At 40.4% G+C, this 17,982-nt stretch overlaps 2 long non-coding RNA genes across 4 annotated transcripts in view, besides 2 other annotated features; one reads left to right on the plus strand and one right to left on the minus strand.

Moving 5' to 3' along the window:
• LNC-LBCS (lncRNA bladder and prostate cancer suppressor, hnRNPK interacting) overlaps positions 1-8,505 on the minus strand; it is a 75,339-nt gene extending 66,834 nt beyond the window's left edge. Inside the window, exons 1-3 of one of the 3 annotated variants that reach the window (NR_134649.1) lie at positions 8,421-8,505; positions 7,917-8,024; positions 5,910-7,656 (exon numbers count right to left, since the gene is read on the minus strand). This is a non-coding gene — a long non-coding RNA (lncRNA bladder and prostate cancer suppressor, hnRNPK interacting). The other 2 variants (NR_134651.1, NR_134650.1) reach the window with 2 other exon arrangements.
• Positions 8,424-8,473: a silencer, noted in NCBI's record as "silent region_16976". NCBI's record gives its function as "represses an Ori minimal core promoter by ATAC-STARR-seq in GM12878 lymphoblastoid cells {active_cell/tissue: GM12878}" and the evidence as "EXISTENCE:reporter gene assay evidence [ECO:0000049][PMID:35858748]".
• Positions 11,668-17,946, plus strand: LOC105374963 (uncharacterized). The gene is made up of 5 exons (XR_007059488.1): positions 11,668-11,731; positions 12,929-13,046; positions 13,151-13,306; positions 16,967-17,028; positions 17,259-17,946. It is a non-coding gene; the product is annotated as an uncharacterized LOC105374963 (long non-coding RNA).
• Positions 15,058-15,623: an enhancer, noted in NCBI's record as "NANOG hESC enhancer chr6:19811543-19812108 (GRCh37/hg19 assembly coordinates)". NCBI's record gives its function as "activates a minimal SCP1, AML or CMV promoter by ChIP-STARR-seq in naive H9 embryonic stem cells {active_cell/tissue: H9 hESC(naive)}" and the evidence as "EXISTENCE:reporter gene assay evidence [ECO:0000049][PMID:30033119]".
• Positions 17,947-17,982: the final 36 nt, after the last annotated feature.

Raw genomic sequence — 17,982 nt, forward strand, 5'->3', positions numbered from 1 at the left:
TACCCCAAAACTCCTATCCAAGTGGTGTCATAGAGGAAAAGCAGAGAGCTAGGAACTTCATCTCCACCAGGCAATAAGGAGTCTTCACCACCACCACCACACTGATGGTGCTCATGGAGACCACATGGAGAGTATGGACTTCCATCCCATCCTGCAGTAATAAAATGCTCCTCCCCACCTCACTGGAGTGGCATCAGAAGAAGTTAGTGGAGAGGTAGAACTTTCACTCCTGCCCAGCAGAAACCAGACCACCCCAACTCAACTCAACAATGTCAGTAGAGGCCAAGCAGTAATGAGTCTTCATGCCCCTCCCAGCCAGGATGATATCAACAGAGGTTTAATGGAGAACTAGAACTTCCACCCTTGCCCAGGAGTTACGAGGAGTCCCTCACACCCAGTTATTAACATTGGCATGGATTTCTATTTCCGCTTGGCAGCAATAAAGCAGCACCACCATAAAAATGTTTTAATGAGTAATTATGAACATGCCCAAAACAAATGGAAAAAAAATTAAAAGTCTCAGCAAGGAAAACAAAGATATAAATAAGAACCAAAAGGAAATTGTGTTAGTGGAAAGACAGCAGAATTAAAAACTCAATGGATGACCTAAACAGCAGAATGAAGGGAACAAAAAAAGGAATCAGTAAACTTGAAGACAACAATAAAAATTACCCAATCTGAAAGCAGAGAGAAAACTGATATTTTAAAAAATGAGCAGGGCCTTTGGGACCAGTAGGATTATAACAAAACATCTAATATAACTTTAAAGACTAGGAAGGAGAGAAGAAAAAGGGTGTGGCTGAAAAGTATTTGAAAAAATAACAACTGAAAACTCCCCAAATTTAGCCAAAGCATAAACTAACAGATTCATAAAACTATCAATGAATGCCAAGAAGGATAAACGCAAAGAAATCACTACTGAAGCACATTATAGTCAAACTTCTGAAAATAAAGACGGAAAAAGTCTTGAAAGTGGCAACAGCAAATAATACCTTATTTATAGGGGAAAAAAATTTAAATGACAGATTTCTCAACAAGAAACATGGGGGCCATAAGGAAGTGGCATAACATTTTTCAAGTACTAAAAGAATTGTCATCTCAAAATTCTATATCCAGCAAAAATATCCTTCAATAATGAAGGAAAAATCAAGACATTTTCAGTTGAAGGACAACTAAGATAGTTTGTCACCAACAGACCTATTTAAAAGAATAACTAAAGACGATGGGCATGGTGGAACACACCTGTAATCCCAGTACTTCTGGAGGCTGAGGTGGAAAGATCGCTTGAAGCCAGAAGTTCAAGACCAGCCTGGGCAACAAAGCAAGACCCCATCTGTACAAAAAATTTAAAAAGCTGGCTAGGGTGGTGGTGCTACGTTGGAGGGTGAAGAGAGGATTGCTTGAGTGCAAGAGTGTGAAGCTGTAGTGAGCTATGATTGCAGGACTGAACTCCAGCCTGGCTGAGAGAGAAAGATCTTGTCAAAAAAAAAAAAAAAAAAAGCGAAAAGAGTTCTCTAAACAGAAAGAAAATGATAATTAAAAACAGAAAACTTGTAACATCAAGAAGAAAGAAAGAAGACAGAAATCATAAAAAAAACCATGGGAAAATATAATAGGTTTTCTTTCTCCTCTTGAGCTTTCTAAGTATTTGACTACTGAGACAAAGATTATAACACTATCTGGTAGGGTTCTAAATGTATGTACAGGAGATACTTAAGACAATTATATTGCATATTTATATTATAAAGTGAAGGGATATGAAGGGAGGGAAGACTTTAACACTTCACTTGAACTGGTACTCCATTAACACCAATAGAGTTAGTAAGCTATAACTATAATACAGTAGCTACAGCAACTATTAAAAATGCTATATATTTGCACTCAAAAACACTATACATAAATCAAAACGGATTTTTAAAAAATGTTTAAGTAGCCCAAAGCAAGAAAGAGTTTAAAAAAAGGAAGACAGAGCAAATATTAAATAAAATAGGAAACAAAAGCATAAACGTATATCAATAATTACATTTAATGTAAATGATCTAAATATAACTATTAATAAAATGAGATCACAGAATGAATTTTAAAAAAAGAGATGACCCAACTATATGCTATCTACAAGAAGCTCACTTCAAATATAATGAAATAGGTTGAAAGTAAAAGTATAAAAAAAAGTCATGAAAGTATTTGAAGAAAGCAGGGATGGCTATATTAAAAGAAAATAGACTTCAAAGCAAAGGACAAGAGACAGAGAGAAATATAATTCACCAAAAAGAATTACATAAGCAATTCTAAGTGAACTGTATTAGCAATTCTAAGTGAGTATGCACCAAATAACAGACTTATAAAATATGTGAAGCAAAAACTGATAGAACTGAAGGGAGAATTAGATATATCCACAATTATAGTTGGGGACTTCAACACTCCTCTCTCAACAACTGATAAAACAATTGGATAGAAAATCAGCAAAGATATAAGAGAACCCAATAACATCGTCAAGCAACAGAAGCTAACTGACACTTCCAGAGCACCCCGCCCAACACTAGCAGCATTCTCTTTAAGCAATCACAGAGCATACACCAAGATAGATCATATCCATAACACAAACTCATGAAATTTAAAAGAATTAAATCATATGGAGTGTATCCTCTGACCATAATGAAATTAAAGTCGAAATCAGTAACAGAAAGATAATAGGAAAATAACCCAACACTTGGAAACTAAATTCCCTATAAAATAATCCATAGCTCAAAGAGGAAGTCTAAGTGGAAATCAAAACATACACTGAACTGAATGAAAATAAAAACACAACATATCAAAATTTGTGGATGCAGCAAAAACACTGCTAAGAGGGAAACTTATAGAACTAAAAGCTTACATTAAAAAGCAAAAAAAATCTCAAATTAAAATCTAAGATTATACCTCAAGAGCATAGAAAAGGAAAAGAAAAACCCAAAGAAAGCAGAGAGAGGGAATAATAAAGAGAAAAGCAAAACTCAGTGAAATTGGAAACAGAAAATCAGTAAAAGATGGTTCTTTGGAAAAAAAAAAAAAATCAATAAAATGCACAAATCCCAATCAAGACTGACAAATTAAAAAGGAGAAAAAAACATAATATTAGGAAAGAAAGCAGGGATATTACTACAGATCCTGCAGATATCAAAGGGATAATGAGTAAATACCACATAAATTAGACAAAATTAGACAATAGATAAAATGACCCCATTCCTCAAAAAGCACACATTATCCCAACTCACACAATATGAAATAGATCATTTAAATAGCACTTTATTGAGAAAACTGAATTCATAATTTTTAAATTACAGAAAAAGAAAACTCCAGGGCCCGCCAGATTGTTTTACCACACTATTCTAACAAATGTTTAAAGAAGAATTAACACCAATTATACATATACTTTCCCCAAAAATAGAAGAGGCATGAACACTTCCCAATTTATTTTAGGAAGCCAATATTATCCTGCTATCCAAACCAACCAAAGATTGCATGAGAGAGAGAGAGACAGGGAGACAGAGATAAACAGAGACAGAGACAGAAACTACAGACTGATATCCTTCGTTAATATAAGTGCAACAATCAACAAAATATTAGCAAATGGCCTTCAGCACTATATCAACACAGAATTATATACCATGAGCTAGCATCCTAGGGATGAAAGACTGATTTAACATTCAAAAATCAATCAATATATTAATAATCTACCATATTCACAAGCTAAAGGGAAACAAATCATGATTCATCAGTTGATGCAGAAAAAGTACTTAACAAAATTCAACATCCATTCATAATACAAATTCTCAGAAAACTGGGAATGCAGGGAACTTCCTCAAACTGACTTTTTAAAAACTTGAAGAAAAAAAAACCCTACAACTAATATTATACTTAATACGAAAGACTGAATGCTGGCCTGGCATGGTGGCTGTAATCCCAGCACTTTGGGAGGCCGAGATGGGCAGATCACCTGAGGTCAGGAGTTCCAGACCACCCTGGCCAACATGGCAAAACCCCATCTCTACTAACAATACAAAAATTAGCTAGGCGTGGTGGCACACACCTGTAGTTCAGCTACTTGGGAGGCTGAGGTGGGAGAATCACTTGAATCCGGGAGACAGAGGTTGCAGTGAGCTGAGATCACACACTGCATTCCAGCCTGGGTGAGAGAGAAAGACTTGATCTCAAAAAAAAAAAAAAAAAAAAAAAAAAAAGACTGAATGCTTTCTCCCTAAGCTCAGGAACAAAACAAGGATGTCCCACCTCACCACAACACAATATTGGAAGTTCTAGCCAGCACAATAAGGCAAGAAAAGGAAATGCAAGGAAGAACTAAAACTGTTGCTATTTGCAGATGACAGGTTTCCCTACGTTGTAAAAAAAAAAAAAAAAAAAAAAAAAAATCCAAGAAACCTTCAAAAACAAAAAACCCCAAAACAACAAAACTCCTAGAGCCAATAAGTTCAGCAAAGTCACAGAAGGATCAACATACAAAAGTCAACTATACTTTTATACACTGGGTCCTACTTGAGTATAGAGTGGGAGGAGGGGGTGGATTGAAAAACTACCCATCAGGTACTGTGCTTATTACCTAGTGATGAAATAATCTATATGCCAACTCCCCATGATGCATTATTTCTTATATAACAAACTAGCACATGTACTCCAAACCTAAAAGTTAAAGAAAAAAAATTAAAAACTTGGATTTTATTAAAATTAAAAACTTTTTCTCTCCAAAAGATCCTTTTTTTTTTTTTTTTTTTTTTTTTTTTGGGGAGATGGAGTTTTGCTCTTGTTGTCCAGGCTGGAGTACAACTGCGCGATCTTGGCTCACTGCAACCTCCGCCTCCCAGATTCAAGCAACTCTCCTGCCTCAGCCTCCCGAGTAGCTGGGATTACAGGCATGCGCCATCAGGCCCGGCTAATTTTTGTATTTTTAGTAGAGACGGAGTTTCTCCATGCTGGTCAGCCTGGTCTCGAACTCCCGACTCAGGTGATTCACCCGCCTAAGTCTCCCAAAGTGCTGGGATTACAGGCGTGAGCCACCGGATGTGGCCCAAAAGATCCAAAAGACAGCAAAAACACTGGGAAAAACTATTTGCAAACCACATCTCTCAGGGGTCCCCAAGTCCTGGGCCTCAGACTGGTACAGGTCAATGGCCTGTTAGGAAGCTGGCAACACAGCAGGAGTTAAGCACCTCCTGAGCCAGCCTCACCACCTGAGCTCTGTCTCCTGTCAGATCAGCCAGGGCATCAGATTCTCACAGGAGAGCGAACCCTATTGTGAACTGCGAATGCGAGGGATCTAGTTTGCATGCTCCTTATGAGAATCTAATGTCTGATGATCTTAAGTGGAACAGTTCCATCTGGAAACCATTTCCCCCACCACCCCCACTTCCGTGGAAAAAACTGTCTTCCACGAAACTTGTCCCTGAAGCCAAAAAGGTTGAGGACTGCTGATGTAACTGATAAAGGACTCATGTCTATAATTTAAAGAACCTTCAAAACTCAACAGTAACAGAACAAATCAAGAAAATAAGAAAATGACACGAAGAGGGATTTCACTGAAGAGGATATGTGTATGGCAAAGACATGAGAAAATGATCAACATCCCTAGTCATTAGGAAAATGCAAATTAAGACCAGAGTGAGGTATCACTGCACACCTAATCGGAACAGTAAAAGTAAAAAAATAGTGACAATACAAAATACTGGTAAGGATGTGGAAAAACTGGATCTCTCATATATGGCTGCTGGGAATGTAAAATAGTACCACATTTCTGGAAAATAGTTCAGCAGTTTCTTTAAAAATTAAACACATACTTACCATATGACCCAGCAATCACACTCCTGGACATTTATCCCAGAGAAATGAAAATTTAGGTCCACAGAAAAACCTGCAAGCAATTTTTCAAGACAGTTTTATTTGTAATAGGCACTCCCCCCGCCCAAAAAAAGAAGGAACCAAAATGTATGATAGGTGAATGCTGAATGATTAAACAAACTGTGTTACACCCATAGTGTAGAACTCAGTAACAGAAAGGAACAAACTAGAAATACCTGCAATAACTTGGATAAATCTCTAGGGCATTCTGCTGAGTTGGGTGGGGTGGGGGGGTGGGGGGGATGGTGAGCTAATCTTAGAAGGTCACAAGCTGTGAGGACCAATTTATAAAACATTCCCCAAACGACAAAATTATAGAAATGGAGAACAGACTGATGGTTGCAAAGGGTTAGGGATGGTGTGGGGGAAAGAAAGGGACGACCATAAAGGGACTGTATGAGAGAGATCTTCGTGGTGTTGAAATAGTTTGTATTTTGATTGTGGTAATGATTACAAGAGTCTTCAGGGATAAGGTGACACAGAATCACAGGCACATTTTATCTCAGTGTCAATGTCCTGGCTTTATTATTGTGCTCTAGCTATGCGGGATGTAACCAACAGTGGAGGCTCTATCAGACCTCTCTGTACTATCTTTGCAACTTCCTGTAAGTCTACATTCAAATAAAAAGTTAAAAAAATCGGTGCCCAGGCCACATCCCAAACCTTGTAAATTAAAATATCTAGGGGAAGAACCTAAACAACTGCATTTTTTTTTTAAATGCACGAGGTAATTTTAAAGTGTAGCTAGAGTTAGGAACCACCGCCAGCTGGTATTATTACCGAAACTACAAGCAGGTGGAACACCTGTAAGTCTGGTGGAAGATGATAAGGAAGGAGAAAACTAAATATACAAATCTATGTTAGGTTTCTTGAGGGTTTTATTCTCCTAACGTTAAAACCTAGTATTAAGTGAATCCAAATAATGTGGATGGGATAATCAGTCATCCATTATGATACAGACCATTTTACACAAAATAGGCCAGCCCCAATAGACTATTCTTTAGATTCTTAAGCATTTGGTATCGATGTTACAATTTTAAAATGCTAAAAAGCAATTATAATCACATTTAAATATGCAGCAATTTTAGAAAATCAATGTTTCACCGAGTTTCTCATTTTAGATGAATAACAAAATGAGTTCAAATTTTTATTTGTGTTGACTACCACCAGCAGCGACCCGTGGGAAGTAAGTGAAAAGCAAGTATTCCTATTTTGACTACACATTCTAATGTATTGGTTATTTATATTTATGATCACCAACTATTATCTATTAGACTTCTCCGGATTTAACTGTTTAGGAAGTGAGCTGTAGACATACAGAAACCAAGGATTATTTTGAGCCAATAAACAGTGACTTGACCAACCGAATGCCTTGTGTGGTTATTAATCATTCCATATCACCATCATCAAAAGACACTGTGCATCTACTCAGCTGGGCCAGGGGATTAAAGGTTTACGAAAGAGTCCCTCCTTGCCTTTAAACGGTTTAAAGTCTGTTTGAGGATGGGTCCAAATACATAAAATGATGAATAACAAAGCGAAGAACATGCTGAAATCTGGACTGACAAAAGAAAAGGGCCAAAGGGCTTGTTTTTACTGGAAGTATTTTTGCATAAGCTGGGAAGGGAGTTTGCATCTTCTGGACTCATAGATCAGACAAATGAGCAGCTTCAACAAAGCAGATTTATGCTATCCACCAGGAGGGTTTTGCTTAGTTGTCAGTTGTGGACTTTCTTCCAAAAATGCAGCTGTTTTGAAGCAAGAAATCTGGCACCAAAAAATAAATAAAATGAAAATTTAGAATAAGAATTACCTCCCACCCAACTCTAATCAACAGCTACGTCTCCCTTTCCTCCACCTTCAAGATTTAAAGGTCTGGGGTGGAAACTGGAGGTGTGGGGGGGCGAATGAGCTATTTGCCTTGCCCCAAGACCACCAATCTCCTGTGTGTGTGTCTCTCTCTCTCCAAATACGACCCTCACACACTCTCCAATTTACACTGCTACAACTTCCCAGATTTGTTTTACCTTCTGGAAAGATTTATCCATTTGGAAGCGTTCTTGAAGTTGCTAACTGTCGTGAAGTTCGATTTGAAAGCAAAACAATGACCGCGTTTTAACAGACAGTGCAAATTCTTTTTAAAAAAAAGTTGTTTTGTGATTATGGGAGATAATCAACAGCTACTCAGACATTCTTCTCTTAAACAGCTGAGGTTTATCATTTTCGCTATTATGACAATGAATTTTTTCCTCCTTTGCTTTCTGCCTTTTGGCAGGAGCCTCGACTCTGCAGGTGTTAGCGCTGTAAGGGCCGAACCCAACCGCCAGAATGTCTGCCGAGCCTAGCATGGGATGCTGCCCAGCAAAACAGCACCCAGGGAGAGGGCGACTGAGGAAGACAGCCTGCAAGCGCGCTTCAGAAAGGACTGGGACCAGAGCCCTAGAAAACTACAGCGAGTGGATTCCCTGGCAGGGGAAACCCGCGAGAGCCTGGGAAAAAAAAAAAAACGAGAGGGAGAGAAAAAAACTCACCCGGGCGCCCTGAAGCCCAGCGCAAGCAAGCGAGTGAGCGCGCAGGCTGGCTGGGCTGCTCCAGCTGGAAGTCATTGTGCGGGCTGGCGTCTGCGTTGTCAGGGCGACCGCCCGGCCGGCGCCAGCGGAGCGGGGGAGGCGGGCTCCGTGAATGGGTGACGTCACGCAGCCGGCGCCAGGCAGTCTGGGCGGCCGAGCCAATGAATCAGCTGTCCGGGGGAGGCAGCGCAGCGCGGCGCGCGGGAGCTGGGTGCAGGAATGCGCCTGGAGCCGCGCGGCCCGGGAGGGCGCGAGACGTCTCCGCCCGCCTGGTCGCCCCGCGGCGGCCAGAGGTCCCAGCGTCCCAGGCTCGGCCATTCCGGTGCCCCCCACGCCCAGTCTGCGGCTGTGCCCGCGTCCCTAGTTTTCCGCCGGTTACCCCCACGGGCGCGCGCTCTGCGGGGAGGCCCACGAGCTGGGGGGGCCGCTGGGGTGGTGTCAGGATGTTTTCACTTACTGCGACTGTGGCACTTATTTAAAAGGAAACATACAATAAAACTTGTCCTTGTAGATAAAATAGACTTTGAAAGTATTGATGAATTCACTGCCACCTTACTGTGCTCTCCGCATTGTGCTGGGTGTTGGGTATCACAAACAATGAAAGGACCAGGACTCGGAAGTTCCCAAAATTGAACTGGGTAGAAAAAAGTGTAAGGAACTCATGATTCAGACTTACAGCCGACTGCTCTTCCAATATTCTATAGTGTGGGACTATAGGGCGCCTTTAAGGTTCTAGAAGGCAAATGGCTCCAAAGATTTCCAATTTTTTGGTGTTTTTGTGTTTTGCATTACCTCTGTCCTGCTTTGCTCTCCATTACAGTGTCCTGTAGGTGGCCAAGTACTGGGTTAAGGTCATTTCAGTATGCCCAGCATTTGACGCTCTCCCTGACTCCTGGTAAGGACTGGACATTGTTGATGGGTAATCCACAATGCAAGAGCAAATAATTTTAAGGCTAGAGTAAAAGGAGTACTTCTGAATTCCTAAACATCTTTTTGGGTGCTTACTTGTTGGTTTCTGGTGGTTTTTCAAGAGTAGTGATGCATCATTACTGAAACTGGAAAACCAGAGTGTGGCCCAGACTCACATTATAGTAGATGTCGTTAAATCAGCCCTTCCTGCTGAAGTCTGTGCCCCCCTTTTTAAATCTGGAAGATGAGATCTGGTGAGATATTCTCTTAAGACTCATGAAGTTCTAGCAGTCTATCATTGTATTTATCAACCTTTCAAACGAATGACTTTATTCCTATCACAGTATGTGATATATGTGACATTCATTTAACAAACACTTCAGGGTCCCTGCTATGCAAATACTATGTACTGGAAGTTTTAACTGAAATTTTTTTGGAATAAAAGTTAAGGGCCTGGCGGCTCATGCCTGAATCCCAGCACTCTGTGGGGCCGAGGGAGAGTTCGAGACCAGCCTGACCAACATGGTGTCCGGAATTGGTGGGTTCTTGGTCTCACTTACCTCAAGAATGAAGCCGCAGACCCTCGCGGTGAGTGTTACAGTTCTTAAAGGCGGCGTGTCTGGAGTTTGTTCCTTCTGATGTGTTCAGTTTCTTCCTTCTGGTGGGTTCATGGTCTCGCTGGCTCAAGAGTGAAGCTACAGACCTTCCCCGTGAGTGTTACAGCTCATAAGGCGGCCTGTCTGGAGTTGTTCATTCCTTCTGGTGGGTTTGTGGTCTCGCTGGCTTCAAGAGTGAAGCTGTAGACCTTCACGGTGAGTAGCACACAGCTCATAAAGGCAGTGGGGACCCACAGAGTAAGCAGCAGCAAGACTTATTGCAAAGGGCGAAAGAATAAAGCTTCCACAGCACCTAAGCGGACACGAACGGCTTTTTACTGCTGGCTGGGGCAGCCTGCTTTTATTCTCTTACCTGGCCCCACCCACATCCTGCTAATTAGTCCATTTTACAGAGAGCTGAGTGGTCTGTTTGCGCTGATTGGTGCATTTACAACCCCTGAGCTAGACACAAAGGTTCTCCACATTCCCACTAGATGATGCTAGATACAGAGTGTCCACACAAAGGTTCTCCAAGTCCCCACCAGAGTAGCTAGATACAGAGTGTCCATTGATGCACTCACAAACCCTGAGCTAGACACAGGGTGCTGATTGGTGTGTTTACAAACCTCGAGCTAGATACAGAGTGCTGATTGGTGTATTTACAATCCCTTAGCTAGACATAAAGATTCTCCAAGTCCCCATCAGATTCAGGAGCCCAGGTGGCTTCACCCAGTGGATCCCGCACTGGGGCCGCAGGTGGAGCTGCCTACCAGTCCTGCGCAGTGGGCCCACACTCCTCAGCCGTTGGGTGGTGGATGGGACTGGGCACCATGGAGCAGGGGGCAGTGCTCATCAGGGAGGGTCAGGCCGCACAGGAGCCCACGGACGTCGGGGGAGGCTCAGGCATGGCGGGCTGCAGGTCCCAAGCCCTGCCCCGTGGGAAGGCAGCTAAGGCCCACCGAGAAATTGAGCACAGCAGCTGCTGGCCCAGGTGCTAAGCCCCTCACTGCCCGGGGCCGGCACCGCTGGTGGGCTGCTCTGAGTGCGGGGCCTGCCAAGCCCACGCCCACCTGGAACTCGCGCTGGCTCGCAAGCACCACCTGCAGCCCCAGTTCCCGCCCACGCCTCTCCCTCCACACCTCCCTGCCAGCTGAGGGAGCCGTCTCCGGCCTTGTCCAGCCCAGAAAGGGGCTCCCACAGTGCAGCAGTGGGCTGAAGGGCTCCTCAAGTGTCGCCAAAGTGGGAGCCCAGGCAGAGGAGGCGACGAGAGCGAGCAAGGGCTGTGAGGACTGCCAGCACGCTGTCACCTCTCAATGGTGAAACCCCATCTCTACTAAAAAAAAAAAAAACAAATTAGCTGGGTGTGGTGATGCACGCCTGTAGTCCCAGCTACTCAGAAGGCTGAGGCAGGGGAATCACTTGAAGGTGGCAGAGGTTGCAGTGAGCCGAGATGGTGCCACTTGCACTCCCACCTGGGCAACAGAGCAAGACTCCATCTCAAAAAAAAAAAGGGGAGAGAGAGAGAAAAAGAAAAGGAAGGAAGGAAGAAAGAAAGAGAGAAACTAGAAAACAAAGCAAGTGCTAATAAACGGGTATAGGCCAGTTTATCTTGATGTGCATGAAGTCACCTGGCAATTGGATGAAATGCAGAAGAGGCTTGGGATTCTGCATCTTTAACAAGCCCCCAAGTGATGTTGATATTGCTAACCCTGAACTGCACTTTGAATAAAGAGAATCTTGACCACAGAGTACCAAGGAAAGCATAAAGTAAGAATATAATGGATATAAAGTGGTCTGGGTTCCTAAAACCTGTGGAGAAGATGAGCTTGAGCCACGTGATTGTGCATATGATTGGCTGAGGGAATGAAAAAGCAGAAGAAACAGCATAAATAACAATTGCATTGGAAGGAAAGGAGCAAAAAATAAGTTGAGGGGTGAAGAAGATTTTGTCTGACTTCAATTAAAAATATTTAGGGAAACTATAAAAAATGGGATTGAAGATTTACTGGTGGGGTAAGACAACCTTAGAGGTTACCCAATTTAATTTGGTGTAGTTGAAACTGAGCAGCAGTACAATCTCATTAGATAATGGCAGAGCTCAGAATGGAAGCCGAACCTGAGAAATTTAGATGACAAATACCTTACACATAGAGTCTTTGATATAAGAAAAGCCACTTGTCATTGTTGTGCAAGGTGAAAATATGAGGGAAGAACGAAAACAAGCGAAGAGACCCATAGGAAATAATATTAATAGTCCAAGCATGGAGTTTTGGGGAAGGTTTGGTCTAGGGAAGATGAGAAAATATCAGGTGAAGAGGTGAATCAGAAAAATTTTGTGTTTGCATGAATTGTAATGGCTGCCACCAGCTGATTAAATCATCCATTTATGTAAGAAAAGGAAAAAACTTCCCTCCATCCCTCCCATGGTCCAATGAAGCATTTTTCAACCCTGACCTCACATCGGCATTACTATTTTTTTTCAGTGGGAATTCCTGAGCTCCACCCCACAGAAATTTAATCAGAATCTCTGGGAGTGGAGCCCTAGAATCAGTATTTTTAAAGCCTCCCTAGGTGATTATAATGGGCAGTCAGTGTTGAGAATCACTAATCTAATATACAGTCACCAGCTCATTTTGTAGGCTTCATTTCTGCCCCTGAACATTACCCCCAGTGTTAACTGTTATACTAGCACTAGATCATTTTTAATACTGGGTGTGTTTGGTGGTGGATTTTGATGGTTTATAGCACATTCTCTAAGCTCAATGTCTTCCATCCCTCATTAACTGTCATGGTTTAGTTGTGAACATACCCTGATATCTCTCATTGGCGAGAGAAGGAACAGTGATTTGGCACGTGACTGGATGGAAATGATAAACCTGGTTTATGAACCTATATGGTACCATAGTGTGGCAGTGCAGTTATTTTACTTGATTTTAGCTTTGCTTTAATAATCTACTTTAACAGCCTCTTTAGGTTTAGAACTGATGAATGAGCACTTAAAATAGCGACTTGGACCATTGGAACTTTTATTTTGCGTCTTCTCTAAAAAAATAATCGTTACTTGCTGGAAAAAAATCTGAAGGTGAGAAGAGTGTATAGTCTTTTCCTTGGTGACTAACTTAACTTTTAAAACTTCATTGATTCATTTATTCCTCTAAAATTAATTGAGTACCTCCTATGTGCCAGGTACTTTTTCAGATAGGAGGATGCCAAGAGAAGAAAAGCATTTTCTCTGTCTTCAAAGAGGAAAAGATGAGCATAGTGAATTTCGGGTGTTGTATTTATTCAGCTTGGACGTTTAAAAGATACTTGGCTTTCCCATACTATCTTGACATGCATTTTGTGAGTATTTTTAAAAATTCATTTATTTACTTTTTAAAAAAGAAAACTAATGAATGTATGTGGTTCAAAAACCAAAGAAAATATTTTCCCTTTCATTCTTGTCCTATGTCTGCCTAATTCCCTCTCACACCTTACAGAAGCCACTATTAATTTCTTACCTATCCTTTGAGAGTTATTTTTTTGAATATACTAGCAGATATAAACATATTCTCATTTTCTCCCATTTTTACGCTGTTCTGTATCTTTTTAAAATTTAAAAATATCGGGAGGATATCTTTCTATATGTGCACATTCTGTTTTCATTTTGTTATTCTTCCATAATATTCTATTGTCTCAAAGTACCACAGTGTATTTCTCTTACTGCTATTGATGGTAATTTAGGTTGTTTCCAATCTTTTGTTACGAAATTACATAAACAACCTTGTGCAACATCTGTGTCATTTTGTCCATGTGCACTAGAAGTATTACCTGTAGGATAAATTTCTGCAAGCCAAACTATTGGGTCTTTTAAAGGGTGTATGTTAACATTCTTGATTGTTTCCTTAAGATAAATTCCTAGGCATGAAGTTCCTGGGTTGACTAATATAAATACTTTAAAGGTTTTTGATATTCACTGAGAAATTGCCATCTAGAGAGTTCGTACTGATTCATTTTCTCACTTGCATGGTATAAAAGTACCCATTTCTCTGAAACCTTGCCGGTATTGGAAAATACCTTTTTAAAAATATGTCTTTGTTTACTTCATGGGTAAAGAATTGCATATCTATTTATTACCTTAGCATGCATTTCTATGAATAATGTATAATTTGAACTTTATCATATGTTTATTAGCCATTGCGTGATTAGAGGTTTGTCCATCTCTTTTGTCCAATCTTGAAGAATTTTTATTTTTATTACTGGTTTGTAATACATTAATACACTAATCATAATAATGATCTGTTTATTAAACCCTCGCCTTGTTCCAGGCACTGTGCTAAGCATTTTTAATTGGTCCGATGTATTGTAAATATTTTATCTGAGTTTGGTATGTGTCTTTAATACTTATTTAAACATTATTTCCTCTTAAAAACCTTTAGAAAGCTGTACAAATTATGTGATAAAATAAACTAATCTTTTATGTGTTTTTGTTTGCTCACTTAACACACAGGAAAGTCTATACACTCTAAAATCAGCTTAGCATTCACTTTGATTTTTCTAGTTCCTGTAGGACTTTAAGTAATTTTTAAAACAAATTAATTACTGTATACAAATGGTTAGCTAACTACAATGTAACTAACTTTTTCTGTTTCAAGAAAATATTTTTATACTTTTTAAAGCAATTCTTTTATTATTATTATTATTATTTTTTTTTGCAATGGAGTCTTGCTCTATCGCCCAGGCTGGAGTGCAGTGGCGCGATCGCAGCTCACTGCAACCTCTGCCTCCCGAGTTCAAGTGATACTCTGCCTCAGCCTCCCAAGTATCTGGGATTACGGGCACCTGCCACCATGCCTGGCTAATTTTTTTGTACTTTTAGTAGAGATGGGGGTTTCGCCATCTTGGCCAGGCTGGTCTTGAACTCCTGACCTTGTGATCCACCCGCTTCGGCCTCCCAAAGTGCTGGGATTACAGGCGTGAGCCACCGTGCCTGGCCAAAGCAATTATTTTTACACATATGAATCACTAAAAACATAGGGGCAGGGGAAGGACTAAAACTGCCCATAATCCCATCAACCTGAGACAATCTCTATTTAACATTTAGAGCAAATCTAGTTGATTTTCTATATGTAAATAAATATCCATATACTATGTAATTTTTACAGAAATGGCATTATATTATGCATATGTTTTGTTGCTTGCTTTTTCCCCCTCTTAGCCGTGTAGAGTGAATAACATCTTTTTATGTCAATAACCCCTCACCCTCATCATTATCCATTGTATGGAAGAGAACTCTTTAATGAGATCAATTTCCCCTCCAGAAGCAGGAAACCTGGGCAGAAGCATTCCATGAGAAACCTCACCTGCCTGTTTGATGTTCATCCGTTCAGAATTTCCTAAGGCAGTTTAATCCCATTGTTTCTCAACTACTTTCCGTTTCTTTGAGGGCCTAACAGCCCGCAAGAAAAGGGGAATGCAGTGGTCAATCATTAACCTGCTCCAACGAGAGAGACAACTCAGAAAGAAAACAAAAACACTTTTTTTTTTTTTTTGGCAAGACCTGGTTCAAAATCTTATAGTTTTTTTCCGCGAATTGTTTTCAGTCCTCTTTCCCATACGCCGTTGTCTTTGTCTCCCTAGCCTACACGCACACCTCCCTTCAGATAATTTTTAACTTACGCTCTTTATTTCTTAACAAAAATAATGACATGACTTGCTCTCCCAGAGCTCTGACCTTAGGTTTGTTCTAGCTGCAACACTAGTATAGACCATTCTATTAATTATGAATGTATTCATGTGTATAGAGGCAATGGTAGACCAGTGGTAATGTTACCTTATTCTGGAGACTTACACTTATAAATAAATAATGAGATGCTTCTGTGAAATGCCTTTAGCAAAGGCAGGGGAAAGCATTACTTCTCGAAAGACTGTACATTTGAAAGATTGAAAGGTGATACCAAAGGCTCTTCAATAACATATAAACCACGTCTGTGGAAAAAAAGAAAATAACATGAAAGAAGTGAACTGGAAATTCTATAATGCTAAATTGGGGACCAAAATTTTCTAGATGGCAAGTGTAAAATCTAAGTGAACAGAACAGAGAACCTAAAATAGATTCTTGGAGATGTAGGAAAACTGATCTCTGATCCTGCAAATATCTTTCTATGTTATACATTTAAAATAAATCACTACATTTAAAAATCTGAGATGTTATTTATAATAAAATGCTACATTCCCATCATATCCTGTTAAAGATGGTATTGAAAAGTTGTGTTAAGTAATTCCAATGAGAGATTGGTATGTATGATTGATTGGTTATTATTAAACAGCATTTTTTTCTATCTTAACTAACTTATATTGGGCTTGTGTATTAAGCTAGATATTCAAGTCTAGATACTAATTAAAACAGCTTCATGAAGTATAGTGGCCACTGGCTTCCTGGGAACATTTTTTCTGCGCTGAATATTCTAGTCAGTTTCTAGCAAATAGAAAATGCTTTGTGGTTGCCACTAGAGGGCAAATAGCCTCCTGGACTTCTCTTTGACCAAAGAGTGTCTTGGTCCAAGCAGCCAGAGTTTTAAGGTCTCATATAAACTAGTCTTAAATCTTGCATTGCCGATTGTTAGTCAACTCACCAACTCAGCAAACTCAGAACATTTTAATTTGTTTTAACTCAAAATTTAAATAGGTTCTTTTATCAGTCTACTTACATGGCCCAATCTGGGATGATAGATCTCTTCGCTGAGTGCACTAACTTCTTACCTTCTTATCCTACCCCTTTACAATCTAGATATTAAACCCCACTGCTCAGCCAGCAAGGTGACCTAACTTCACAGCGTTCAACAGCATTCTTAGACCGTAGAGTGACATCAAAGGCATTTCCCAGCCTGATTCGTTTCTGCTTAACTTTCCAATCTCTCCTCCTGCCATTCCCTCATAGTCCCTTTACTCTGCACTACTTCAGAGTTGCTGGCACTTTCTCAAATATATGATGTTATTTCATGCCCTCCTGTCTTTACTCAGGCTGTTACTTCTACCTGGGATGCTGGCACTGCCCACCACACACTGTTGAAGACTCAGTTCAGGTATTACCTATAAGAAAGCCTTATACTCTTTGCTGATCCCCTTTTTCTTTCCCTTCTTTCTTTCCAGAGCAATAGATTTACTTTTCCCTCCTCTATGCTCCTCTAGCATCTTTTACACACCTCAATAATAATACTAACTCTCCTCTTGTGATTATGTCTAGCAGAATATGAATATTCAATCTATTTTGAAATGTCAACTCAGTTGTTTTGTCTTTTCTTTGCTGCATTAGGAATTGTTAGGAGTTCTAGAAGAGGGATGGAATGCAAACAACAACTCCCTTTCTCTCCAGGAAGAAGAGACCTGAAGCCCACGATTGTGGTTTTTGAAGACTGAGCTCTCTGCCCTTGCGTAAGGAGGTCCAAGATTTCTCCTTGATAAAAATGTGGACTGAAATGCTAGTTAAAAGAAGCAATTAGGGCTTTTGGTATAGAGAAATATTTGGAAGCTGAAGAGACTGAGGTGGACTGGAAAAGATTTGGAGATGCCAAACATCACAACTCAGAGACAGGAAAGTGGTCTGAAAATATAGCAGCTGCCTGGAGGTGCCAGGTGAGTGGGCTTGGAGAAGAGCCACGATGAGGGCCACTGTTGGAGTCATACTGAAGAAACTCTTCACAGCCTTCCCCAGAGGACTATGCAGTTAAGCGGCAATTCTGCCTCATGTAGACAAATAATCATGGAAGGTGATTCGCAGCCTGTGATCAACTTCTTTTTTATCCCAGCAAAAATAAGTGATTCCTGAAAATTATCAAAATAATCAAACACAAGGAGAGTCTGAGAAACTGTCACAGCCAAGAGGAATCTTAAGGTGACATGATGGCTAAAGGCAATGTGGTACTCTAAATGGGATCTTGCAAAAGAAAAAGAACATTGGGGGAAAACTACAGAAATCTGAATAAAGTAGAGACTTTAGTTAATAATGTATCAGTATTGGTTTGTTAATTATAATTATA

This window comes from Homo sapiens, chromosome 6 (assembly GCF_000001405.40).
Source record: "Homo sapiens chromosome 6, GRCh38.p14 Primary Assembly".
Lineage (NCBI taxonomy): Eukaryota > Metazoa > Chordata > Mammalia > Primates > Hominidae > Homo > Homo sapiens.